Source organism: Homo sapiens, chromosome 1, assembly GCF_000001405.40.
Source record: "Homo sapiens chromosome 1, GRCh38.p14 Primary Assembly".
NCBI classification, from domain to species: domain Eukaryota; kingdom Metazoa; phylum Chordata; class Mammalia; order Primates; family Hominidae; genus Homo; species Homo sapiens.
In genome coordinates this window covers 211,916,644-211,944,020 of record NC_000001.11, presented here as the reverse complement: position 1 = coordinate 211,944,020, position 27,377 = coordinate 211,916,644, and the positions used below count along the sequence as shown (strand labels likewise).

Here is a 27,377-nt window from a genome sequence, read left to right as displayed (position 1 = left end):
AATTAGGCTACATTGTTAGCCAGAGCTAAGATGCTGAATCTGTGCCCATGAAATGCCAGTGTTCGAGATAAAGAATGTTCCTTGCTTTAGACATTTATTTCCGATTCCCTGGTGGTTTATCCACAGTAAATGAAGCAAGGGACCAAGTCCACAGTTGTAGCAGCGAAGTTACTCAGATGCCCAGATTGGCTGTGTCCAGGTTTATTGTGGCATAGCATGGAAGGCAGGGTATCAGTGAAGGTATAAAAAGAGAGCATTTTATTATCTTTGGTGGTTTTAGGTTAAAAAGCCAAGGGAAGGTCTGGTTCTAAACTATTATTACTTTCTTAAGCCATTACTACTTTCTTAACTATGGCAAGTTCCTCTCACTTTGGCACTCTGTCCACTCTGACACGGCTGAGCCTTCATTCTCCTCTTTTCCTCTGTTTTGACTTCTGTGCCATACAGCATGGTACCTTATGTAGCCACTCAATAATTTGTGAATGATGAAAAAATTATTTACTATATTTAGAGTATAACTGTTAAAATTGGGTATCTGCTGTCACAGAAGGTTGTAATGAGAATTTACATAATTTATCCCTGTCTGCAACTCTCTCTTCACTTTGAATTTGAAACAGTAGTAACCATGATTCTCTTTGTTACTTGCATATAATTTCTACTGTTAAGAAAATAACATTCAAACCTAGAAGCTATGGTCTTCTGCTTGTTGACCTACCTCTCAAGAGGCATTGATTAAAGTCAGGAAGCTGATATAATAAGCCGAGTAATAACATGATTACTTTGCAGTGTTATTCACAGTGAGTTTGCAGCTTAAGATGCAGCCATCCATTCAGGGTGATCAGGTTCCCTAGGCCTATTTCTGGTCCTTTTAAGGAAGTTCTTTGGTTGGCATATTCTTTAGGGAAATAAAAACTGTACAAAGGCTAAATGTGAAAAAGTACCTGTACTATAAATAATTCTAAGACCTTGAATTGGTTGGTGACGTCAGTTCATTACTATTACAGGTAAATGTCTCTGGAAAAGTGACATGATAACTGCTCCTTGAGACACAAAGCTGCAGGGCACATTTATATAATTAATTACACCACAGAAACACGCACATAAACCTAGAGTAATTTGGTCAAATACACATTAAGATCACCTTTATTTGCATTCTCAGGATAAATCTGTCTCTTGACACGTTTCATCTTGGGTACAGGTAAGAGTACGTCAGCAGGTTTTATTCTGGTCTTTGAAGAACAAAGGCATGAGTGTCTGGCTAAATGAATGAGCCTATAAATCTGTGTTTTATAACATATTGTACTTCCAGTCTGAACAAAACAGTGCTTATTAAATGAGCAATGTACAAATGGTTCAGTTAATTTGTTAAAGGAGTAAGGAATCACTACATTAAGTAATAAAAATCAGACTAACTGTTGGGGGGGAACCTAACTTAAATTTGCTTAGTGTTTTGTTCTTTTTCAGTCTCTTAGGTTTTAAACTCTCTGGAACAGGTGATTTCATCCTATTTCTTCAGAATATCTCTTCACAGTCTAAAGGAAGATAGGGATTTAGAGATGGGGTTGAGTAAGCAAGGAAGAAAGGCCAGCATGTGAAGGGGCTGTCAACGGCTCTGGGAGCTCATTCTACTCAAGTAGAGTGAGGAGCATCACTTAGTAGTTCAGAGTGTAGGCCCTGGAGGTAGTCTGCCTGTGTTCAGATTCCTACTCCGTTCACTAATCATGTGACTTTGGAGACATTACTTAACCTGTCTGCCTTAGACTCCTCATCGGTGAAGCAAGGATGATAGCAGTACCTAATTTTTTATTGTCTGCATGGTCTAAATAAGCTCTTAGAACAGGGCCTAACTCATAGTAAGCACTGAAGAAATGTTAGCCATTGTTGTTAGTTAACAATTGTTTCATTGCAGATACCCATTGACAACATGACCAATGAGATGGAGCAAAGGGTTGAACCTCATAATGATTACTTCAGTACTCAATTTCTGTTGAACTTTGCTATCCTTGGAACACACAACATTACAGTGGAATCTTCTGTGAAAGATGCCAATGGTATAGTATGGAAGACTGGTCCCAGAACTACCATATTTGTAAAATCCCTGGAAGACCCTTATTCCCAGCAAATTCGCTTACAACAGCAGCAAGCCCAGCAGCCATTACAGCAGCAGCAGCAACGCAATGCCTACACACGGTTTTAACCATGGAATGAATGCACTGCAGACTCTCAAGAGATCAATCAAATTGCCAGAAACAGTTTGGTTTTTCATATGGAATAAGTATTAAAGTTACAGTGTAGTTCATTTATTCATTGATTTTTGTAATGTAATATTCTGGAAAAAATTTTGTTTTCTTAAAAATTTTGTCTGACAGCTGGGCGTGGTTGCTCACGCCTGTAATCCCAGCACTTTGGGAGGCTGAGGTGGGCGGCTCACGAGGAGATCAAGACCATCCTGGCTAACACAGTGAAACCCCGTCTCCACTAAAAAATACAAAAAAATTAGCCAAGCATGGTGGCAGGCGCCTGTAGTCCCAGCTACTTGGGAGGCTGAGGCAGGAGAATGGTGTGAACCTGGGAGGCGGAGCTTGCAGTGAGCCGAGACTGTGCTCCAGCCTGGGCGACAGAGCGAGACTCCGTCTCAAAAAAATAAATAAATACATTTTGTCTGAAAAATAACTGGGATCCTGGCCAGAAAGATTGTTCTTTCTTGTTTTATTATTAGTTTTTTCTGTTGCCAAGCTTTTTTTTCTTTCAAGAATAGTCACATGTTGAGATCACTGAATTGGTAAATTTGACCGCTACTCTTCCAAAATACATCATTTGCTGCCTGACTTAGACCTAGGATTCTGAGTTGTTCATTGGGAGGTTCTGACCAGTCACTACAAGGTTTATCCATGGTAGCAGAACCTGAGTCCTTCTGTAGATGGACTTGAAAGTGTTCCGTGCAACATCCAGCCTTCTGGATTATGAAAGCCCACAGTCTAACAGTATTGAAACATCCTGCTGTATTAGTTCAACCACATATTTATCTCTTCCTGTGCTAAAGCAGTCTTTATTATTTTCATATTTAATTGAAACAAAGAGCAGCTAGCAATTTCATAGAAAATTAATTTGTTTTTTCTGATGTGTCTGCAACTGTGTATAATACAGACATTTCACATTGTTTCCAAAAGTGAAGAACACTCATTTAATATCTTCAATGTTTTAAGTTAGAAGGGGTGGATCTTTTCCTTTGGTTGGTGATTGGTTTGGTTTATACTTGATGAGTTATGCTAGACTGATTGTTTAGAGAGAGCAGTCTCTTTATTACACAGGCTCAGTTTGTTGGGATGCTCAGGGAACAGAGTTTTCTGGTTAGCCAGAAAACCCCCTTTTTTCCTATTTTAATTCTGGTTGAAAACCATGATAAAATAGACTTTCTTAGCACAGTATGGTAGATATAACTTAACTGCTTTTTGATTGGGGATCATTTAGGGCTTCAGGATCACGATTTCTAAACATCAGGGATCATATGGTTGCAGATGCCGATGCTATAAGTAATTTGGCCGGATGCAGCTCCTAAGGTAAAGCAGGGTACTTTCCCTGGAATTTCCTTTTTAAATAAATATCTGTTTCTTTGCTTGTGTTTTGCCTTTTTCTCTTCAAAGTCAACATTAATTCAAAGGAGAATGGAGCTTAAGATAAAAAATAAAAAGGGGTTGTTGTTTTTTTTTTCTTTCTTGTCATGCGGCCTCTGGGACTGAGAAGTGATTTGCAACTTGGGTCTCTCCAAGATTGCTTGCCTTCATGAGCACAACCCATTGTACTGCTAACAGCCAGAACATTCTCATAAAATGTGTACAGATCTACAGTGTCCACGGTTGAATGACATCTCTTCAGATGCAGCCCAGTTGTATGAGGTTCACACAACCTACACAGTCATCTCAGCACCTGGGAACACGTGCTTAGGAAAAATTGCCAGAGCAGTGCAGAACCCCTTGTTCTTTTACCAGGTGTGGAAACAGCTGAATCAGAAAGCCTGGGTTTCACTCTTGGTTCTGGTGAATTAGCTGTGTGACCAAGCAAGTCACTTTACCTCTACATCTTAGGGGTTTTTTTTTTTGTCTGTCAAGTGACTGAATTAGACTGGTTTTCTGGATTCCAGCCTAGAGTTGTATTATCAAGTGACTGAAAGACTAAAAACAAACAAAAACATTTCTTAAATTGGAGATCTTTTTTATTTGTAATTAAGTGGCTATTTTCAGGGTTAAAGTTTACAATGTGGATTTCAAGCTTCTGGTGCCATTCAAGGTAGATTTCTCCAAAAAAGAAGCAAATCTTGTAAGCCATCAATTCCCTTTGAGAACTTCCCAAATGTTATGTTCTTAAAAGATAGGTTTTGATAGCTATGTTTATGAACTTTTTAACTTGGTGTATTATGGGCTCCTGGCACAAACTCAGAAAGGAATTTTTTTTTTTTTTTTTTGAGACAGAGTCTCGCTCTGTTGCCCAGGCTGGAGTGCAGTGGTGCAATCTCAGCTCACTGCAACCTCTACCTCCCAGGCTCCGGTGATTCTCCTGCCTCAGTCTCCCGAGTAGCTGGGATTACAGGCATGTGCCACCACGCCTGGTTAGTTTTTATATTTTTTAGTAGAGATGGGTTTCACCATGTTGGCCAGGATGGTCCCAAACTCTGGTGATCGCCCGTCTTGGCCTCCCAAAGTGCTAGGATTACAGGTGTGAGCCACCGTGCCTGGCCAGGAATTATTAAAATAAAAGCAAGTCCAAGAAGTTCAGAGTATAACTGAACTGAACATAACTCTGAAGCAAGAAAGACTTATTTTAGTATGTCCATTAGATCCAGGATTGGAACTCTGATTTTGTTTAGTAAAATATCTACTGAATTTTTGGCATCAACTGTTAAATGGTTATTTGTGGTGGGGGAAGCTGTTTATAACTTCAACACTACACTAATGAATGAAAAGAAAAATGAGATGCAGAAAAGAAAGATGCATACTAATTGTGAAGTGGGCATGTTCCCTAAATTTAGAAATATGAAGGGCACTTGCTGGTTAAAGCTAGGAAGACAGGACTAGTTTTTCTCAGTGCTTCGTCACTTTGCAGTGCAGTAGTGTTTCCTTATCTGCAGTTTTTGCTTTTCACTTTCACTTTGCTTTTCAGTTTCAGTTCCCAGAGGTGAAGATAGACCACATTCACATAATTTTTATTACAGTATATTGTTACAATTGTTCTATTTTATAATCACTTAATCTCTTTACTGTGCCTATTTTATAAATTAAACTTTGGCATAGGTGTGTATGTATAGGAAAAAATGTAGTGTATATAGGGTTTGGTACTATCCTCAGTCATAGGCATCCACTGGGGATCTTGGAACGTATCTCCTACTGATAAGGGGGACTGCTGTGTAGTCCAGTGACTGAGAGCACCAGCCTTTGGGGCCATACTGCCGAGGTTCCAATCTTAACTTTATGACCTTGGACAAGCTACTTAGTCTCTCTATGCCTCAATTTCCTTATTCCTAATAGAGAAACATATTAGTGTTTCATGGGGTAGGTATGAGAATTAAGTGAGTTAGTATAGAATTTACTTAGAACATGCTTGGCATATAGTAAAACAGATATATAAGCATTTGCTTTTATTATTACTACTACTGTCATTATCCTCCTTAGTATTTTTTTTTCCAAAGTGTTAGATCAGTTCTCACTGAGCATTTTATTACCTTGTCTCTGCTATTAAACACATTTAAGCTATCTTTCCTAATGCAATTTGGGTACATTGAGTAATAATGATCTAAACAAAATAGAATTTCTGTCTACTATGCTATAAATCATTTAATTAAAATATGTAAAGGCAGACATACAAGGAAATATATGTAAATACATTCTGCTGATTGCCTTCAGTGATGATAGCAATAGAATGTTGACTATTCAGAAATTAATGTATTCCAGCTTAAACTAAGACCTTCAGACATAACCTTTCTAGCGCAAACCAACCAAGATAGCAGGCAATTTGCAACTGGGGAATATGCCATTTCTCATGTTAAGATACTGTTCAGAGAAGAACAAACCAATTAGACAAGATCCTCAGACTAGGGTCCCAGAGAAGTCAGTTTAAATTCTATTTATAAGACTCATCATTAATCCTTAGATAAGTCACTTGATCTTTCTGTGCCAATACCTGCCAACAGAATATTGAGAATAAGATGACCTGGCACTTGGTATGTAGAGTATAGGCACCACTGACCAACAGAACTTTCTGTAATGATGGAGGCGTTCTAAATTTGCACTAACCGCTACAGCCACTGGCCACATGTAGCTATTGAGTACTTAAAATATGGCTAGTGTGATTGAGGAACTGAATTAATTTACTTTTAATTCAGTTAAATTTAATTATTTTATTTATTTATTTATTTATTTATTTATTTATTTATTTAGAGATGGAGTTTTGCTCTTGTTGCCTGGGGTGGAGTGCAATGGTGCGATCTCAGCTCACTGCAACCTCCGCCTCCCAGGTTCAAGTGATTCTCCTGCCTCAGCCTCCCAAGTATCTGGGATTACAGGCATGTGCCACCACACCCGGCTAATTTTGTATTTTTAGTAAAGGTGGAGTTTCATCATGTTGGTCAGGCTGGTCTTGAACTCCTGACCTCCAGTGATCCACCCCCATCGGCCTCCCAAAGTGCTAGGATTACAGGCATGAGCCACCATGCCCGGCCTCCTTCAGTTAAATGGCTTCATGTGGCTACTGCCTATGGAGTTGGAAAGTGCAGGGAATGAAAAATGAAAAAATGAGAACTGTTACCTTAAGACCTAGATGACCCTTAAGTGGATTTCTAGATAAGGGGGCCTACATTGGAATTCTTTGACTCACTAAAAGTTCCACACGAAAGAGTGTATAGATGACAAGGAGGGTATTTAGGTTCATGCGTTTGCTTTGCTTCTAGTATTAAATACTATGTTGAGGCCGGGCACGGTGGCTCACGCCTGTAATCCCTGCACTTTGGGAGGCCGAGGCGGGCAGATCACAAGGTCAGGAGATCGAGACCATCCTGGCTAACACAGTGAAACCCCGTCTCTACTAAAAATACAAAAAATTAGCCAGGCGTGGTGGCAGGCACCTGTAGTCCCAGCTACTTGGGAGGCTGAGGCAGGAGAATGGTGTGAACCCAGGTGGCGGAGCTTGTAGTGAGCCGAGATTGCGCCACTGCACTCCAGCCTGGGCGACAGAGCGAGACTCCGTCTCAAAAAAAAAAAATACTATGTTGCTCAATCAAACCCTGTTCTTTGCACAATGCCTTGGACTTAGCCTTTACCAGTCACATAGACAATAACAGTATGATGAGATGTAGTGAGAAGTCTAAAGTCTGGTGAGTTGGCTTAATTTGATTTTATTTTCTTCCTTCAACCATAATAATATGATATCCAGATTTTGTCTTTATGGAAGGATCTGTAAACACAGGCTTACCCATCCCACTTACAGGCAAGGCAAATGCTGCTTCTTGAAAAGCGGGGGTCTGGGTCATTATCCTCCTTACCCAAGTTGTCCCCTGGCCTGGCTTTTATCTTCACTATATTGTGGAGACACTTCATTGAGTCTCATACTAGATTTTAACTTTTCCATGGCTTCCGTCGTTTTGCCATGTTTTTCGCGTAGAATGTGTCTGTTTGCTGTGTCGCCACCCACTTTGGGGCCCTGAGCCTTCTCATCAGCACTGTTGCTCCCAGAGACATGTCCCCATTTCCCCCTTTTCCAGAACCGTTTTTTCCTTTGGGCATCATTTTTGAAATTTGCTGTTCTAAAAATATTTTGTTGTTGTTTCCAGATAATTTTTTAAGTAAAATTAATAAAGATGGGGTAATGCCAAATGAATTATAACAATCAGGAAAAAAATGAGCATCTCAAATACCCAGAAAGGATGTTTTGAAGAAAATTACATGGTATGCAGAGAAGAAATACTCTCTAACTCAACTTTCTTTGGTTTTCTTGGTGATTTCATTTGAGGGTTTTGATGAATTTATTTGTGGTGATGAGTTAAAAATGTGTAAAGGATTAGGACAAATAAAAGGGAACTAAATTACACTAAGGAATTATGAGAAGATACCGGTGTCTACCCTCTCCTGTTTCCTAAGACCATGGAAGGTGAAAATAGGCTGGAGTTTCCCTCCATCCCCCACTGGAAGCAGTGGAGCTAATGATGCTTTCTATTTATGTCATCTTGCCCTGATGGCATGAAAGAGTAGTGAGATGAGGAAAGTGATGATGAATTGTTAACACTTGCTCCTGCCTTGCTTTGCCTTCATATCCCACCCACCAGCAAAAGCGGACATCCTGTGATTAGGAGGTTCACAGGAGAAGCAGAAGAGAAGACTACTGTGGAAATGCAAATGGAGGAGAGGGACTCTCCCTGTGAGAGCACAACACGTCGCCAGGCCTGAGCTGGCCGTGGGAGAGTCAAAAGGAAACTGACAGGGAGAACCCCCAAGCAACTTGGAGTCTCACTGGACAGAATAAGGCCTATTTTTAGAAAATGTGGCGAGGGCTTAAAAAAAGTGACAAAACACAAAAGAGTGCCATTTCTGAAATTCATGATAGTGTCCCCTTGTATGTAACACTCGGGAGAGGATCTTAAGTAATTTAAAAACTGGCCATCGTTTGGCATTTTCTTCTTTTGCAGCATTTAGAATGCGTGTGTCCCTTCTCAGCCTCTTCTTGATGTAATTCAAACAATTGAGCACCTACTACTTGTTATCCAGAGAGGGGCAAAAGAGCATTTCGAAAAAAAAAAGGCCCCTAAAGTGTGAAGGAAATATTTAACTTCAAGGAGACAGGAGTTTACACTTAAAAAAAAGTTAAATACTGTCTCCTTACAGAAACTGCTGCTGCCTCTGGCCAGGCTGCTGGATGATTTGAACCCCTCCGTGTCACATTTCAAGGTATTGGAGTATTAGGGAGAAATAAGTATAGTCACAGAATCCCTTCAGCAACATCAGAGCTATCCTACTCAATGGTTACCATGTCCCTTGGGATGCTCAAAAGCATATTAGCCTGGCTAGAATTGTTGTCTCTGAGAGTGAGCACATCTGGAATCTCCTTGAGGGCTGTTGACACATGAGAGGGCCTGAGAATCTGTCCTAGGCACTAATTCCCCCTGCCCCCCACCCACTCCCAAGTGGCTGACCAGGAGTAGCTGATGAAAAGAAAACACTCCTGAGCACTGAAGGTAACTCAGCTGACATCACAAGGCACTGCAGCTCAATCAGCATTTGTCAGAGAAGGAATTCGAACACAGATTTTCCGGATGTATGCTAAAGGCATGGCCAGCAAGGGCATAAACCATTTTGAGAAGGTATTCTTTGATTCATGCACGAGATGTCTGTCAAACACACACAGCATAGCAGGTGCTGGGAATACAGTGGTGGCCAAGCTCCTGGGGTTCACGGCCATGCCACCCCCTCTTTCCTGCAGAGACCATGGGAGGGAGGGTGGTGAGAAACACATTCTGACCGTGACTATTCAGGGTGAGCCTGAGCTTCCTCACGTGGCTGATCATGTTCTCCAGTGAAAGGAGAAAGGAATGGGTTTGGACAGGACTCCCCAGGGCAGAGCCACTGCAGTTCCCTGTGCAGCCCTTCACAAAGGCTCACTCACCCTGTGTCTCCTTTGGTATTTAACCATCCTCACAACCCACTAAGTTTTTCTTATATCCAACCTAAACCACTCATTGCAATCTTTTAATTTTTACTTTTTAAAAATGAGGGGTCTGTCACCCAGGCTGGAGCTTAATGGCGCAATAATAGCTCACTGCGGCCTCAACCTGAGTTCAAGGGATCCTCCCACTTCAGCCTCTCACTGCAATCTTAAGCCTGCTTCAATTCTCTGTGATTGGGGAAGATGGGAAACTCCCACAAAGCTTTGGCCAGAGGGAAATAACTCCTGTCAGAATTCAGTCTCCCCTGACACCAACTATTCCACATAGAAAAACCCATCTGTCTTTCCAGACCCTATAGAAACACCCTGACCCTGATTTGTCTAACCAAGCACGATCCTTCATATTTCTCTGTAACCAGTATTGTGTACACTCAGCTGCCCGACCCTGGGGTTGGCTGCAATGTGGATAAATGGTGGCTAATGTTATCAGGTCCTGTTAATGGGAACGAACAGCTCTCTCCACTGTCCCACACCCTATATCAGCCACCTGGCTATTCTCCGAGTCTCTGTTTCTTCTCATCACATCTCTCTGAGCCTTGGCCTCTTCATCTGTGAAAGGGGGCTCATAGTTACCCTGTTGAAGAGTTGTGAAGATTAAATGTGATAACACTCACAAAGCCTGGTGCCTGGCGGGTGCCCAACAGATATTGGTTGCCTTCCTCCTCAGTGGTGGATTGGCCAGCCTGGCCCAGTGGCCCAGAGAGCAGCGGGGACAGGAACTTCAGCCCTACAAAACAGTGACATTTCAGGTCATCTCTGCCTTAAAGAAGGATGACGTTCCAGGTCTCATTTGAGGACCTAGAAGGGACTAAAAGCTCTTAGACTCAAGAGGAATGTATCCTTTTCTGTTGGGAGGAGGGTATTTCCATCTCTCAGCCTTCCCTGTCAGCACAAGTATTGATCCCTGGGGAAGTGAGAGAGGGGGCAGGGGAGTGCCAGGAAGATATGGGAGAAGTATCACCAGTGCAGTGAGCCGACCCAGACATCCTGTCATTCTTTCTGAGACTTATTTGGTCAACTGCAAAATAAATGGGCTTATATCCAAAGTTAGTTTGCACCATCAAATCTACTGGACATAAGCCCCAAGGTTCAATGGGTGCTTCATACCTAACTGATCAGAACTCTTTCCCTACTAACAAGGTTTTGGAGAGTTTGCCACCCCCCAAAAATGGAGCAAGAAGCAAGGAAGTTTACATTGAGTATAAGGAAGAACTTAGTGAACTCTAGAAACAATTACATACTGAAAGAAGGAAGCATTCAGGCTTCATGGGTGCTTCTGAAGGGCCTTAAGACAGGAAGCCTGTTCAATCACAGAGGTGCATTTGCCAAGAGCCTCTCTGGAGGCAGAGGAATGGACTCTATGACCTCTTGGCCCTATTTTATCAGCAAGATTTCATGGAGGCCACAGCTGCAGACTTCCCAGCAGGAGGGCTTTGCCTGGGAGATGCGTTGTGGCCCAGCTCCCCACCAAACACATGCCTTCGAGACTAAGGGCTCAGGCAGTGCAGCCGCAGATATAAATAACCTTCGTGTGACTCTTTCTGTCCTTAGAGCGGATGCCTCCAGCCATTGCCCAGAATGGGATGGAGGGAACAGGAGAAGGGTGCACAGAGAAGTGGTGGGGGTGGAGTGGGGGTGGAGTTGGGGAGGGCTGGGGTTGACAGCTGAGAAGAGAGTGACGGTGAAGAGGCTGTGTTTTCTCTCACCTCCTAAGTGTGTGTGTCTGCATGTTTCTGTGAGATAGGTGTTCATGCAGGGAGAGGAGCTGTCCTACTTTTGGGGAACGGGGTGCTGTTCTTCACAACGTGCTTTCTTTCTTTTCCCACTACCATCATCCTAGTTCACAACCTCATTATGTCTTCCTGGAATATTGCTTTCACTTCCTAATTTCCTTGCTGCTAGTTTCAGTCTCCTCTGAGTGAACCTTTCTTACCATTGCTTCCCAATTCATTCTTCTTTTTTTTTTTTTTTAAATCTAGACAGAGTCTTACTCTGTTGCCCAGGCTGGAGTGCAGTGGCACGATCACAGCTCACTGCAGCCCTGACCTCCTGGGTTCAAGGGATCCCCCACCTCAGCTTCCTGGGTAGCTGGGATTACAGGCGCGTGCCACCACATCGGGCTAATTTTTTGTATTTTTTTGTAGAGGCGGGGTTTCACCACGTTGCCCAGGCTGGTCTCAAACTTTTGGGCTCAAGCAATCCACCCACCTTGGCCTCCCAAAGTGCTGGGATTACATATGTGAGCCCCCGCGCCAGCTGCAATTCACTCTTCTTGTTAAAAAAAAAAAAACAAAACTGGGTTCCCAATACAGTGCACATTCTTCAATATATCATTGAAGATCCTCCACAATTAGACACAGGCCTAGCAGCCAGACCTCTCTTTTCTTTTTTTTTTTTTGAGACGGAGTCTCGCTCTGTCGCCCAGGCTGGAGTGCAGTGGCGCAGTCTCGGCTCACCGCAAGCTCCGCCTCCCGGGTTCATGCCATTCTCCTGCCTCAGCCTCCCGAGTAGCTGGGACTACAGGCGCCTGCCACCACGCCCGGCTAATTTTTTGTATTTTTAGTAGAGACGGGGTTTCACCGTGTTAGCCAGGATGGTCTCGATCTCCTGACCTCGTGATCTGCCCGCCTCGGCCTCCCAAAGTGCTGGGATTACAGGCGTGAGCCACTGCACCCGGCCCAGACCTCTCTTTTCTACGGCCCTCTGTGTGTATCCCAGCCCGCAGTAAAACTGGCACCCTGGGCATTCCATGAGCTCAGTTTGCACTATCTTACCTTTGTGGCTTTGCTCATATTTTCCCTCTGTCTGAACACTCTTCCCTCCATCCGTGAAAAACCTGTTCGTCCTTCCATGTCCTGATTTCTAGCCAGACACAATACTCAGTATTCCTCCATAGCCCGTATCCCAATCCATCTGTGTGAAGCAGTCTAGCTGCATGGCCCTGGGGTCGGAGGCACTGTAGACAAATGGAGGCTAATGTTACCATGTCCTGCCAGGAGCAGCCAGCTCCCTCCACTGCCCCATGCCTCCCATCAGCTCCCTGGCTATTCTGGCCTCCAGCCCTGGTTCTCACCCTGGCTTGAAGCAATCCTGGCTGATCTGCCTGCTGGCCATCCCCAGTGTTCGCCTCGGAGACTGAGGCAGAGAGGCAAGCTGTCTGAGCTCTGAGCAGTGGAGAGGCTGGAGCAGGGCCTGCTAGTATCACAGAGGCTCACCGTGGGCCTCAAGTGCAGCTGAGGCTCTGAACTGAGGGCTGAGGTAGGAGGGAGTGGGCAGTGACTAAAACTTGCAAGAAAGTTTTAATTTTTTTAATTTTTTTTAAGAGTACTTATCTATCTCTTTCCTCCTAGTCATTCTCACCCTCCTCCAGCAGCAGCCTCCTCTTGGTCAGAATTTAGAATATGTTGTTGCTTTGGATGGCTGGGGTTTCAGTTTCCAGCTAGGTTCTTCCCTGTCCATCTTTCCTCCCTCCTGGCCCTTCTTTTTCCTAGACTATCTACTATGTGCAAATCATCATGTATATGTGTAGCAGGGACAGAGTCCCTGCCCCCAGGAAGCTCCCAGATGTTGTCACCTATGTCAGGGTACTCAGTGAGTGTCCGTGGTGCCAAGGTCTAGCTGAGGTGTCCAAGTGGCACTGAGGGAGACTTGAGCAGGACACACATTATTTGTGTTGACTAAGGAGGTATATGAAACCTGGAAGACCCTGTGGAAGGTGGAGTGAGCAAGGAAGACACCAGGGAAAACAAAGACAAAGAGGCTGGGCACAGTGGCTCACATCTATAATCTCAGCACTTTGGGAGGCTGAGGTGGGCAGATCATTTGAGGTCGGGAGTTTGAGACCAGCCTGGCCAACATGGTGAAACCCCATCTCTACTAAAAATACAAAATTAGCCGGGCATGGTGGTACGTGCCTGTAATCCCAGCTATTCGGGAGGCTGAGGCAGGAGAATCATTTGGACCTGGGAGGTGGAGGCTACAGTGAGCTGAGATGGCGCCATTGCACTCCAGCTTGGGTGACAGAGCAAGACTCCATTTCAAAAAAAAAAAAAAAAGGCAAAGAAAGGAAGCCAGAGGTGGCCTTTGGTTTCCCACCACTGCAGTCCAGCCTGATTCCAGAGCCAGCTGTGAACCCAATTCCTAAAGCTCAAATCTGAGGCTTCTGCTCCTACGTGGGCCGTGTGTTAGGTTGCTTGCCAGCTCGTGTTTTCCCCTCACACCCCTACCTGCCATGTGTTTTCATCTATGGATTCTGCAACAAGCTTTGAACCACAGGACCTCCCTCTGGATGACTGGATCTGGACAGGTAACCTTGGAAGCTTTCCAAGGCCATGTTTTCTGCTGTAAAGATGGTAAAAGAAAGCCCAGCTGGGTTCCTGCCCCAAATTCCCTGAACTGCCCCACCTTGTGTCCTCATACTGCAGTGAGATATTCATCTTTGTGCTTTTTTTTCAGGAAAGATACGTGACCTTTCCCTCCTCAGAGGCACCCACAAGTCCCTGAGGAGAAATGAAGGGTTAAAGCAACAAGGCAAAGACAAAAACAATGTTCAGCCTTTTCAACATCCGAAATAAAATATTGAGCATAGACAGAGAGATTTTTGTTGTAATAATAGACAAGAGAAAGAACAGTGGGATGACCATGGCCACTTTGGACATGCTGACTTTCTCATTGCTCCCTGAACCCCAGTACATTGCACGTCTCTGGGCCTTTGTCGGTGCTTGGCTCTCAGCATGCAACGCACTTCTCTCCCAACTCTGCCCAGCAAGCTCCAGCCCATCTCCTATGATTTACCCAAGTCAAAAGTCCTCCTTTCCAGGAAGCAGGAAGAACACTGAAGGCCCCGGGGCTGAGTACTACTGGCCTTCTGTTCTACTCTCTAGTAAAGCACCCGGCTTCTGATAACTTTATAATGTTCTGCTCACAGATCTGTCTCCTCTTCTAGACTGTAAATATCCAAAGGGAGGGATTGGGAGTTCATCTTTGCCTTCCTGGTGCTCAACATGGTGGCTGGCACATGGTAGGTAATCAAGAAAGTTTAACTATTTAACGCAAAATTCAGTGTCAAATTACCTAGCCTTCATGCAGTTTCCGGTCTGAGCCTTGCCACTGAGAAGTGGCTGTAAACACAAGAGCTATTGCTCAACCGATTCCTGGGTGTGGCTAGAAATGGCAGAGGCTAGTTCAATAGCGGGTGCCCCTAAGCCTTACTGCAAAGGATCCAGCATTCCCTGCCATGCCCTGAAGCAGCCTTATAATTCTGCAATCACTGCTAGATAAGCAGTGTAGCCCATAGGCCCTGAAGCTTGGCTCTTTTGTGACCAAGGTGAAGCCTCACCATCCCTGTCTCTGGGCTTCATGTTCTCCATCTGTCGTGAGGTTGTAGGTCCTAATTAGAAAGCTGTTAGAGATTCCTGAAAGGACTGTTATTGTACTGCAGCACAAAGAATATTATGTCAGGGTGCTATAAGAGCACAGCAAATAATGTGAACGAGGAAATAATAAGGGCACTTATTCCCAGAAGCATATTGATTTAAACCACAAAAACTCCTTGGAACAGGGCTCAAGAATTATAAAAGCCTGAGCAATCAGCAACCCCTGTGGGAGGGGAGCCCATGCCAGGCAATTGCTGGAGAGTTCATTTGGTTGGTCTTGGCAGGCCAGTTTTGTCCCTCAGGTGTTCTTGCTTTGGTGAAATTTCCCTGTTGTAATGAGCCCAGCCTACCTGCTGGGTTCTAGGGAGAAAGGACTATTATTTCCACATCCTTTGCATAAGAAGCAAAGGACTGGCCTTAGCACACAAGTGAATTCACTTATCATCCTCTGTGTGATGAAAACAGATCTCCAGATAACAGAAGCTGCATCATCACTTCTGCTTCTAAAGTCTGCATAGCAGGTCACACCCTGACCCAGCCACTGCTATCTCTGGACAGCAACTTGGGAAAACCAGTTACTCAGTAAATATGAAAAATAAAAAGTCACCTTAACAAATGCGTCATCCTGGAGTAGAAAAGCATGTTTAAACCTGCTTCCAACAGCAGAAAGGGCAGAGCCTGTAAGAAAAAAAGAATGATGGCACTAATTGGACAAAAATTTTAATTTAAAACTTGAAATGGGGGAGCACTGACCCCATTTCTCTGGAGTTTGCACATCCCAGGGGAAAGAAATAAAACATTAAATGGCAAAAAGTATCATAAGCCAAACTCTAAGATAGAATAAATTATAGGGAATATATTTGCAGCATTCATAATAGATATCAGAGTAATATCCTTAATATATAAAGGCATTTACAAATCATTAAGAAAAAGATCAGCAACTAGCATGGGAAATTGAGAACACAAAGAATCCACAAAAGAAAAAATAAAAATGACCAATGAACAGCTAAAAAAAAAAATGTAATAATGTAGCTATGAGCAGTGGGCCTGCCTGTAGTCCCAGCTACTCGGGAGGCTGAGATGGGAGGAATTGCTTAAGTCCAGGAGTTAAAAAAAAAAAAAAAGTAATAGTGAAATAAATATAATTTAAAAATGCAAATTTAAGCAATGAATTTAATTTTTACCTATTAGATTGGCCAATTTTTTTTTAGTGGTAAGTGGTGAGTTCATGTATGACATTGAGTGGTAAGTGGTGAGTTCGTGTTCTAAAGCAAACAATAACTATATTCTATGACCCTGCAGTTCCATTCCTAGTTTCTCCTAAAGAAACCTTTGCACCTGGGCATAAGAAGACACATAGGAGAATGCTTAGAACACCCCTGTTTATAAGAGCAAATGCTGGAAGAAACCCAAATATCCATCAATAGATACATAGATATATAAATTATATATTTGTATAATAGAACACTATACAGTGGTAAAAATGAGTGAATTGTAGCTACATATAGCAAGAGGCATGAACATAAAGTTGAGCGTGTGAAGTCAGTCACTCTAATTCCATTTGTATAAATTGTATGGTGTTAGAAGTCAGAATAGTGGTTCCTTTCAGACAAAGACAGTAACTGGGAGGGAGTCAAAAGGGTTTCTGGGGTGCTAGTAATGTTTTGTGTCTTGATCTAGGCATGTGCTCCCTCAGAAAATGCACCACGCTGAACTTAATATACATGCACTTCTCTAAAAAAATTAAACGAAAATAATCAAAAGATATATTTCAATTATTTTTAATAGGTCTGCAGTATAAGAAAAATCACCTCAATTGCTTACTTTCCAAGATATATTAGAGGCATAGAAAAATAATGTAAGAATACATTTTCTTATCATTAACATTCTGAAACATGAGAGGAAGCCCCTCAAAATGCAAGGCCCCCTTCATTGTATACAATATTTAGTGTAGCACGCAGGCAAATACAGGTTTACAGATTTCTAAGAAATGGGTCTGGTATCATCTCCTTCTCCTTTGTCCAGCACTTTCTGAGCTGCCAGCAGGGAAGGCATTTGAATGTGTGACATACTTCATTTACAAATTTTTTAAAGCAAGTTATAAAAGAATACATAAGTACAATTTAATTTCTATAAAGGAAAAATATGCAGAACTAAGGCACATATTGTTAAAGGATACAAGCATATGTGGTAAAACTAACTAAAAGCAAGGAACTGGTAGAGACACAGTTTAGGAAAGTGGATTCTTCTTCTGAGGAGGAGGAGTGCAGGGATGGGGTCAGAGAAGGCACAGGGGGGCTTCTAGGAGACTGGTGATATTCTAGCTCTGAAGCTAGATGGTGGGTTCACAGATAAATATCTGTGTATTCTTTACGTCCTTCACATTAGAAATATTATTTGTATGTATTTAATATTTAATAAAAACAAATTTAAAATTATTTTAAATAGACTTTTATGCCATTCCTGTTGGGGGTGGGGTGGAGTATAAATTGGTAGAGTTTTTCTAGATGAAAGAGTGGCTATGAGTGAAAAATCATGTAAAGATTATACTTCTAAGAAATTTTCCTAAAACAGTGATCAGACAAGAAAGCAGAGGTATTATAAAAATATATTTATCAAATGTGGTTTATTAAGACAAAAATTAGAAACCATCTAAAGTCTTAAAATAGAAACTGATCAAATTATACTACTCCATAAAATAGAAAACTATGTAATATTAAGATTGATGATGATGATGTACATCTGTTGACTGTCATTGAACTACATTCATGATATATTTTTTAGTAAAATAAAGTTTCAAAACATTATGGTTATGGTATGATCTAATTATTTTTAACACAATATATTTTCATGTAAAGGTACATAAGTAAGAAGGTCTATAGCAATATTAATAAGGTGATTCTTTCTAAATGGTACATGTATTACTCACAGTCAAGAAAATAGGCCCAGTGCAGTGGTTCGTGCCTGTAATCCCAGCACTTTGGGAGGCCAAGGAAGGGAGATCTCTTGAGCCTAGGAGTACGAGACCAGCTTGAGCAGCATACTGAGACCCCGTCCCTACAAAAAAAAAAAAAAGAGAGAAAGAAAGAAAAGAAAAATTAGCCAGATGTGGTGGTGCACTCCTGTAATCCAGCTCCTCAGGAGGCTGAGGCAGGAGGATTGCTTGAGCCCAGGAGATCAAGGCTGCAGTAAACCGAGATTGCACCACTGCACTCCAGCCTGGGTAAAAGAGCAAGATCTTGTCTCAAAAATAAATAAATAAATAAAAATAAGCAGAAGAAAATAATCAAAAGATATATTTCAATTATTTTTAATGGGTCTGCAGTATAAAAAAATCACCTCAATTGCTTACTTTCCAAGATATAGTACAGGCATAGAAAAATAATGTAAGAATACATTTTCTTATCATTAACATTCTGAAACATGAGAGGAATCCCCTCAAAGTGCAAGGCCCCCTTCATTGTATACAATATTTAGTGTAGCACACAGGCAAATACAGGTTTACAGATTTCTAAGAAATGTGTCTGTATCATCTCCCTCTCCTTTGTCCGGCACTTTCTGAGCAGCCAGCAGGGAAGGCATTTGAATGTTGGCAGCCTTCAGCTGCATCCACAGCCGCATCTCAGTCAGCACCACACAGCTGCCTTCTGGGGTGAGGCAGCCGAGAGGGCAGGACAGGAGGGTGTGGCCAGGGGACACCTGGCGCTGGAGTAACAGCCCTGACTGCTCTAAGCATAAGACTGCCGCTCTTGACTCAGAACCTCTCCCCATCTCACCAAAACCATCACCCACACCTCTGGAGTGTTTTTAGGTGACAAATTCACTGATCAGTAAATCACTATAAAAAGCTCTTTCCGGTTGGGTGCGGTGGCTTATGCCTGTAATACCAGCCCTTTGGGAGGCTGAGGTGGGTGGATCACTTGAGGTCAGGAGTTTGAGACCAGCCTGGCCAACATGGCAAATCCCCGTTTCTACTAAAAATACAAAAAATTAGCTGGGCTTGGTGGCATGAGCCTGTAATACCAGCTACTTAGGGGGCTGAGGCAGGAGAGTTGCTTGAACCTGGGAGGTGGAGGTTGCAGTGAGCTGAGATCACACTACTGCACTCCAGCCTGGGTGACAGAGTGAGACTATGTCTCAAAAATAAAATAAAATAAAATATAAATCAAATAAAAAAATAAAAAGCCCTTCCAACGGGGAGGCTACTCAGTCTTAAACAGTGGCCAAAGGACTCCTTAGGGTTGCTCTGTCGTTCCCCCAAGCTCACCATCTTGGGGACCTTCTTGGTGACCCGTTTCTGACCACTCCTGGTTCGTGGCTCTTCCCTCAGCCATGTCTTTCTTTGGTTCTAAAGCTCAGAAAGGCAGCTGGGCTCTGGCAAGAGTCTACTCGGTGAGGTGTCCAGAATGGCAGCGCCCAGTTGCCCTCTGTGCCCTGTCCAAACTGCATAGTAAGACACAACTCGCGGTGTCTGCGGTGGGGCCCCCGACAGCACACAGCCCTGCAGTTGGGGCCATGAAGTGGTGAGGGAGGCCGAGGGCAGAGAAAGGGCGCTAAAGAGAGGCAAAGGCACAGGAGCTGGGGACAAGAAATGGGAAATGTGCCACAGGAGTTTCCCTTTCATCTCTGTTTCCCCCCTTTTTAAAAAAGCACAGGCACTTACCTAATGGCTGCCTGTTTCCTAAATAATATCTGGATAGAAAGAAGGATAAATGATTAAATTTGAGCATAGTTTTAATATTGTTTACCCTAGAAACATGCGAATTCATTATTTTTGTCCTAGTCAATCAAACTTAATTCAGCTACATCAGTGTCCATCGAGTGCCTGTGGAGGTGAGGGGTGGGCTAGGCCAGTGAGATGCACAAAGGTGAATAAGACACATTCTTGCCCTCCATAGGTTTCTAGAAATGTCGGAAATATTCAGTAAAATACAAGCCGTGATGATACCACAGAAGTGAGGAGAGCAACAGAGAAAAAGTAACTCACTTCCAAATTTTACATCTTTATTTTTGAGGACTAGCAAGCTTTCTGATTCCATCTGTGTGTGTGTGTGTGTGTGTGTGTGTGTGTGTGTGTGTTTTACTAGAGTCTATGTATTTCCATGTCGTGTTTTCCTGTGTTGTGCTGGCCTAGAATGGGCAGTTGCTGTGGCTGATCTTGGGTGCGCAGTAGCAGTGGTGGTGGGCTTCCCTCCAGGAGGCTGCCATAATGGGCCTGCCTCCCCAGACAGCTCCCTTTCCTTGTGCTTCTGTGTCCAAAATTCCCAATTCCTGGGAGAGGAATCTGGGCAGGTCACAGCATGAACATGACCACCTGGAACTATCTAGGGGTGTGTGCATCAGAAGTGCAGGGGAGGTTGTACTGGCCCCAGAGAAGAGCAGCTGAGCAGATAACCCACTGCAATTCGGAAGTATATACTATCGTTTCCTGTAAGTGTATCTTTAAGTCACTAACATGTGACAGGCAGAAGGCATGGAGGTGCGCAATGATTGCCCTCATGTTTTACATTGTGTGGCAGATCCATTTGTTTTATCTCTTTCTGCAGTAAAAAGCATCGTGTGATGACTCCCTGTTAAGTGACAGTACACCTGACTGCCGAGTCACCTTTTCAGATAAGGTGTGTTCCCCTTTTATTAGGTGCTATAAGGAGCAGTATTCAGATGCTCAGTCGTTTACCTGGCAACCACTTACTGGGTAGCAACTACATGCCTGATACGTGATTGCTTTGCTTGAGGAACCCACAGTCTAAGGTGCTTGAGGAACCCACAGTCTAAGGTGGGAGTCTGTGATATATAGAGCAGCAAAGTGACATGAGCCATTAAAAATTAAAATCTGTCTTCTCTTTCAACTGCTTGCCTACATTACAGATGAAATGCAAGGAATACCTACTTCCAAACAGACAAGCACAAGCCTTCTTAGTTGGGACCAAGCACAGCTGGCCACTGCAGCAGCAGGCACAGTGACAAATATTCATTGCAAGTGTGAAGAACCCTCATTACACTTTTAGGGATATCAGAGAGAAAGAACAGGTCTATTTCCTACCCCTGGGAGGGAGTGGAGAGTCTCATGGAAGAGATAGGCATATGTGCAGATGATCCCAGAATTTCCACCTAGGAGGGACACAGGGGCTTCATTTACTTGGGAAGGGGCAGGCTTGGGGACCTGGATTGTTGTGTTTTCACAGGACTTTACCTGAACTGAGAAAACGCCAGATGCTCATGACAAAGAAGGAAGTGTGTGTGTGTTGGCGGGCATGGGATGCTGATGGAGATTAAGAGGAGATGGCTAAGGCCTCCAACCCTGCTCTTGAAGGCAGCACTAGCCATAGGTAGAACTACATCATACATATAGGAAAGAAACATTGAAACATGCACACGGGAGTCAGGGACCTCGGCCTTAGGTGCCAGCTTTGCCGCTGGCTGGAGCAGGTCTTTTTTCTCTCTGGGCTGCAGTCGGGGGTCCTCTGGGATGCCCCTGTGCTTCAAGAGGCTCCAAAGACAGATGTGAGACAAGTGTGATATGCAGCAGAACCAAATAAACCTTGTCAAGCCAACCTCAGGTAAGGGCTGCTGCTCACTCAGCTTGCCTGGTCAGGACACGTGACCTTGATTTCCATGGCCTGGTAGAACCCAACCAGCCCAAATGAACAGAAGAGTTACACAACTGAGGAATGTATGTAGACAACAAAAGAAGGAGGTAAAAATAACTCAATCTGCAGGACTAAAAGATAGTTGCATTGTTTAATCATAAATTTACCCAACTAACTACTGATACGTGATCTGATGTGATATATGATTTGACATGTGCTCTCAATTCCCTTACTTAGTAGGAAACTGGAAAATACTTTTTTTTGACATAAGATCTCGCTCTGTCACCCAGGCTAGAATGAGGTGGCACAATCATGGCTCACTGCAGCCCTGACGTCCTGGGCTCGAGCAATACTCCCACCTCAGCCTCCTAAGCAACTGAGACTAACAGGTGCACACCACCACACCCAGCCAACTTTTTTTGTTGTTTTTGCAGAGACAGGGTCTCACTATGCTGTCCAGGCTGGTCTCAAGCTCCTGGGCTCAAGCGGTTCTCCTACTTTGGCTGGGATTACAGGCAATCCTCCAAAAGTGCTGGGATTGCAGGCATGCGCCACTGCGCCTGACAGGAAAAGACTCTTGAGCACGACTGAGAGATGGGTGTGGGGTGCAGGGTTGTATGTGGAAAGAGAAGAGAGGTCAGGGTCACTCCAAAGTGTCTGGCATCCCAAATCTGCCAATCACCAATTGTGCAACTCGAGGGATACTACTTGGGATTACCGGACCTCAGTTTCCTCATTTGTAAATTGGAGAGAGCCTCCTTGGTGGTTGTGAGGACTAAATGTTAACATAGATATAAATTGTGTAGCACATACTAGGTGCCTAAGAACAGTAGCTACCTGCTTCATTCTTGTTTCCAATACATTATTCTTTTTTTTTTCTTTTTTTGAGACAGCATCTCGCTCTGTCACCAGGCTAGAGTGCAATGGCGCGATCTTGGCTCACTGCAACCTCTGACTCCCTGGTTCAAGTGATTCTCCTGCCTCAGCCTCCCGAGTAGCTGGGATTATAGGCACACAACACCACGCCCAGCTAATTTTTGTATTTTTAGTAGAGATGGGGTTTCACCATGTTGGCCAGCCTGGTCTTGAACTCCTGACCTCGTGATCCGCCCACATTGGCCTCCCAAAGTGCTGGGATTACAGGTGTGAGCTACTGCGCCTGGCCTATTCTTCCTCTCACATGTCCCATGTCAACCTGGGTAACAATGTCCTTTTAAGATTTACAGTGTCTAATTCTACATGAAGAAAATTCTGCATTAGACACTTGTCCCAACTCTTGGACAGAGGCCTGAGTCACCATACCCAGCATCTGCCTGCTGAGAGAAGACAATACTGTATGGCCACGGGGTCCCAGCTAAGTGACGGGTCTGGCGAAGCCAGAGGGGTTGGATGGAGACAGACAACAGCCAGCTTCCTTAATTAGGGATAACCTGTAAGGTTGCTTCCAAGCCTAAGATACAATGATTTTGATTTTTTTTTCTCTGATTATTTCATTGATCCAGATAGACTAGGCAAAGTCTAGAGAGTTCAGCTGACTCACATTGAGCAATGGCTGGGCTGGGATCAGAAGCTCTGGCCTTTGAGCCATCATCACAGAGCTGGAAGAGACCTTGAGCTCATCAAAAACAGAGCCAGCTCCCAGGGGGAATTTCAAATCCATGCATACTACCAAAAAATAAAAAATAAATAAAATAAAATAAAATAAAAAACCACCATGTTCATTTTGAAAGTATTCCTGGATAATTTCCAACTCAAATAGTTTTACTATGTAAATTCCTTTGATAAAATATTTATTTGGCATCTATTCCAGGCAACAAACACACAGTGCTCTCTGAGTTATCTTTGAGCGTATTTGTTTTCTTCCCTAGTGACATTTTCTAATTGGAAATAATGAGTGGGAAGCTCTGGGCAGGGCATCTTGGCATTTGCCTTTGCTGGGTGCCAGCCTGTGTTAAATCTTCAGGCTGCCTGCCAGACACAGAATTGCGACTGGGAATGGAGCTCAGGAAATAGTGCAAAAGGAAACCAGGCAGAGGTCAGAGAGAAGAGGGCTTGAGACTGTAAATAGCATAGTGGTTAAGAGGAGCAGCGGCTGCATCAGACCTTCCCACTGACGCAGGGAGAGGATGAGGAAAGATGGAGATGTGGTGACTGGAGAGGAGGGGCGGATGGAGAGATGGAGGGGGTGTGGGCAGGAAGCAAAGAAGGGAAGCAGGAAGCTTTGGCTGGGCACGGTGGCTCACGCCTGTAATCCCAGTACTTTGGGAGGCCAAGGTGGGCGCATCATCTGAGGTCAGGAGTTCGAGACCAGCCTGGTCAACATTCCTGGTGAAACCCCTTCCCTACTAAAAATACAAAAAAATTAGTGGGGCCTAGTGACGCGTGCTTGTAATCCTAGCTACTGAGGAGGCAGGAGAATTGCTTGAACCCAGGCGGCGGAGGTTGCAGTGAGCCGAGATCATGCCATTGCACTCCAGGTTGGGTGACAAGAGTGAAACTCCATCTCAAAAAAAAAAAAGTAATAATAATAATAATAAGAAGAAGGAAGCTTCTTTGTCAGGGCCAACCCAATAGCATTTGCATTAATCAGGGCCAAACCATGGAAGCAGAACCACTGATTATTATGGACTAAGGTATTTATTATAAGAATGAGATCTTACACAATGCAGTGGGGAAAGTGGGGAAGTAAAGATCTGAAAAGGGGAGGTGAAGAATCACGAGAGTCACTGCTTGGCCTGGCGTGGGTGAACAAGGTGCAGCTTGCAGAAAGCAAGGCAAGACTGGCTGCCGTCAAGGGCCAGGTGACAAGAGGACATAGAGCCTCAAATTTGGGACCACGTTTCTTTTAAGGTATAGTTGAGAGGAAAACTGTCGGAGAGTTTCTGTTCATCAAGACTAAGTTGCAAGTGGTAGAAATTCTAAAACAAACTGACCTAAGTGAGAAAAAAAGAGAGAGTGACTTTTGGGGAAAGCTCTGGGGTAGCTCGAGGAATCAAAAGAACAATTGCCAGATGACGCCAGGAAGAGTCAGACCTGGGAACTCGACACCACAGACCCTTTCCTTGTTTCCATCTCTGTCTCTCACTGCCTCATTTCTTCTTCCTTCTGGCTGGTGGCCTTGTCCTCCCAGCCTTCTCATGTGGCACATGGGGTCATATTGATAAAGCGCCTTGACCAGAAAGGGAAGATACTTTTCCCTACAAGCTTAATTTAGAAAAATCCCTGGCTTGCTTTTTCTTTCTTTCCCTTTGTTTCTTTCTTTTTCTTTTTCTTTCTTTCTTTGTCTTTCTTTCTTTCTTTTTCTTTTTCTTTCTTTCTTTCTTTTTCTTTCTCTCTCTTTCTTTCTTTTCTTCTTTCTTTCCTTCTTCCTTTCTTTCTTGTTCTTCTTTCTTTCCTTCCTTCTTTCTTTCTTCCTTTCTTCCTTCCTTCCTTTCTTTCCTTCCTTCCTTCCGTCTTTCTTTCTTTCTTTCTTTTCTTTCTTTCTTTCTTTCTTTCTGTCTTTCTTTCTTTCTTTCTTTCTTTCTTCTTTTCTCTCTCTCTCTCTCTTTTCAGATTGATCCTTGGATGAATTCCCAGATCAATCACTGTGGCTAGGTGAGTAGGTTGTTATTACGGTTGAATCAGGGTCACATGCCCACCCCTGTGGCCGAAGAAGAGGAGGCCAGGGTCCTTTGATCAGCAGCCTCCTCACAACCAGGTGGAAGAAGAAAGGAGCAGTTCCCCCATGGAAGGAAGTTCTGTCCCCTGAAGAGCAGAAGAAGTGCTGAGCAGACACAAGTCACAGCTGTCCACTCTGGTGTCCCATGGACTGAATGAAATGTTCCTTAAATTCATTGTTCTCATTCTTACCCATTTTCTTTAATGTTATGCCCACTGCAACAAGTTTCTGAGAACATTCAACTGACATTTTAAAGAGAGATGTCACAAAGAAGGAAATACTTTGTAAAGAGTGATGCTTAGTGATCATAATCATCTTAGAGACCTAGAGAGATTGAGTGACTTGCTCGAGGCCACTCAATTATTAAAAAGGAGAAGTAGGACTTTCACAGAATATCCCCATGGAATAAATTAATAGTCTGGTTTATACAGCACTCTGGAGACTTGAGCAACTATGAATCCATCATCCAAGGCTTGATCAGATTGTTTTCCTGGACGATAAAGAGCAGACCAGGGCCAGAGTGATTACTCAGAGGTTAAAGAATAACAGACATTACTCGGAATCTGACTTCAGCATGCAACCAGGCAGAGATGATTCACGAAGTGTGTGTGTGTGTGTGTGTGTGTGTGTGTGTGTGTGCGTGTGAAATCTTCAGTGTGTGTTTAGATTGCTAGGTAAGAAAAGTAATGTAATTGAAGTCATATACATCTTTTCCAGGAAGAAAAAAGGGACTTGAGATTAGGGTTTCAGGTACCTTGAAAAAGATGGGCAATTTAATTGTTCTCTAAGTTGGCCCTTAGTTATCCACTCTAAAGAGAGCTTAAAACATGCCTGCATCTTTAGCTCACAATTTATTTCTCTTCTCCTGTTTGTCTTTTGTACTTTGTCAGTGGTTTCCACATTTGGATGTGCATCAAAATCACTGGTGGAACTTAAACAAAAGCATCCAGTCACCAGCCTGCCCCTGACCCCTACACTCACATTACGGGCTCCTTGGAGGATTCTAGTACATAGGTGGGGCAGAAAACATCTCCTCATGCTGCAAAATGCTCTCCGGCATGCAGAGAGACTTTGTGTGCTTTATCTTGCCTGATACCCCACAACGGTGAGGACAAGGCCAGACTGGGAAAATAAGGAGACAGCAGTTAAATGGCGTTCCTAAGGTGAGGCAACTTGTAAGTAGTAGAATTAGGAGGACTAGAACCTAGATTTTGCTCCTAATTCAATCAATAAGGATGACTAGGGCTTGGTCTTGACCAACTGTGGAGGAGTAGCAGGTGAAAGAGGCATAACTAACAAGCATAGGTCTACTTTTGCAAGTAATCAATCAAAGTCATACTCTAAAGTAGCATCTAGAAATTAGCACCTTCCACAGGCCGTGCCCTTCCTAAAATGTACCATCTGTATACTCTTTCCTTGTAGAAGGTGTCTTCCTTTCTTGTTCTGGTAATGACCTTGGGAAAGTTGCTTGACTTCACTGTTCCTTGGTTTCCTCATCTATACAATGAGAGTGTTGGATTTGATTCCTTTCTGCTCTTGTGCTAGATAGTTACATTGGTTCAGTGACAAGCCCTTGGACGTCATGTGATTGCAAAGGGCTAAAAAAGAGCCCTCTGTATTCTAAGTGTCTGTTGATGCTTTGTCCAGTGGACAAAGCCTTTCAGGTTGCAACGTGGCGTAAGAAAAAGCTTAAAATGAGGCTGGGTGTTGTGGCTCACACCTGTAATGCCAGCGCTTTGGGAGGTCGAGGCGGGTGGATCACTAGGTCAAGAGATCGAGACTATCCTGGCCAGCATGGTGAAATCTCGTCTCTACTAAAAATACAAAAATTAGCTGTGTGTGGTGGTGTGTGTCTGTAGTCCCAGCTACTTAGGAGGCTGAGGCAGAAAAATCGCTTGAACTCAGGAGGTGGAGGTTGCAGTGAGCCAAGATCACACCACTGCACTCCAGCCTGGTGACAGAGCGAGACTCTGTCTCAAAAAAAAAGAAAAAGCTTAAAATGAGATAATCCCTGGAAAAGGTGGATTGTGACTCAGACTCATTCAAGTA

General features: G+C 43.5%; 1 protein-coding gene and 1 pseudogene across 7 annotated transcripts in view, besides 5 other annotated features; one reads left to right on the top strand and one right to left on the bottom strand.

Annotated features, from left to right (window-relative positions):
- Window positions 1–3,618, top strand: part of INTS7 (integrator complex subunit 7) — a 95,155-nt gene extending 91,537 nt beyond the window's left edge. For all 6 annotated transcript variants that reach the window (NR_037667.2, NM_001199809.2, XM_047417179.1 and 3 more), the window contains one exon: window positions 1,910–3,618. Coding sequence is in view for 5 of the 6 variants with exons in the window: in NM_001199809.2 (NP_001186738.1) it covers window positions 1,910–2,197 (288 nt within the window). In the remaining variant the exon portion in view is untranslated. The remainder of the gene's footprint in view (window positions 1–1,909) is intronic.
- Window positions 5,037–5,116: an enhancer, noted in NCBI's record as "active region_2493". NCBI's record gives its function as "activates an Ori minimal core promoter by ATAC-STARR-seq in GM12878 lymphoblastoid cells {active_cell/tissue: GM12878}" and the evidence as "EXISTENCE:reporter gene assay evidence [ECO:0000049][PMID:35858748]".
- On the bottom strand, window positions 7,369–10,014 carry LOC124904505 (peptidyl-prolyl cis-trans isomerase NIMA-interacting 4-like; annotated as a pseudogene). Its single transcript, XR_007066869.1, has one exon. The product of XR_007066869.1 is annotated as a peptidyl-prolyl cis-trans isomerase NIMA-interacting 4-like (transcript).
- Window positions 8,114–8,203: an enhancer, noted in NCBI's record as "active region_2492". NCBI's record gives its function as "activates an Ori minimal core promoter by ATAC-STARR-seq in GM12878 lymphoblastoid cells {active_cell/tissue: GM12878}" and the evidence as "EXISTENCE:reporter gene assay evidence [ECO:0000049][PMID:35858748]".
- Window positions 8,254–8,533: an enhancer, noted in NCBI's record as "active region_2491". NCBI's record gives its function as "activates an Ori minimal core promoter by ATAC-STARR-seq in GM12878 lymphoblastoid cells {active_cell/tissue: GM12878}" and the evidence as "EXISTENCE:reporter gene assay evidence [ECO:0000049][PMID:35858748]".
- Window positions 15,178–15,679: an enhancer, noted in NCBI's record as "OCT4-NANOG hESC enhancer chr1:212101684-212102185 (GRCh37/hg19 assembly coordinates)". NCBI's record gives its function as "activates a minimal SCP1, AML or CMV promoter by ChIP-STARR-seq in primed H9 embryonic stem cells {active_cell/tissue: H9 hESC(primed)}" and the evidence as "EXISTENCE:reporter gene assay evidence [ECO:0000049][PMID:30033119]".
- Window positions 27,208–27,377: an enhancer, noted in NCBI's record as "experimental_3305 CRE fragment used in MPRA reporter constructs". NCBI's record gives its function as "activates a minimal promoter by MPRAs in K562 erythroleukemia cells, with activity observed for both the introgressed and non-introgressed 1:212090071 variant alleles {active_cell/tissue: K562}" and the evidence as "EXISTENCE:reporter gene assay evidence [ECO:0000049][PMID:34662402]".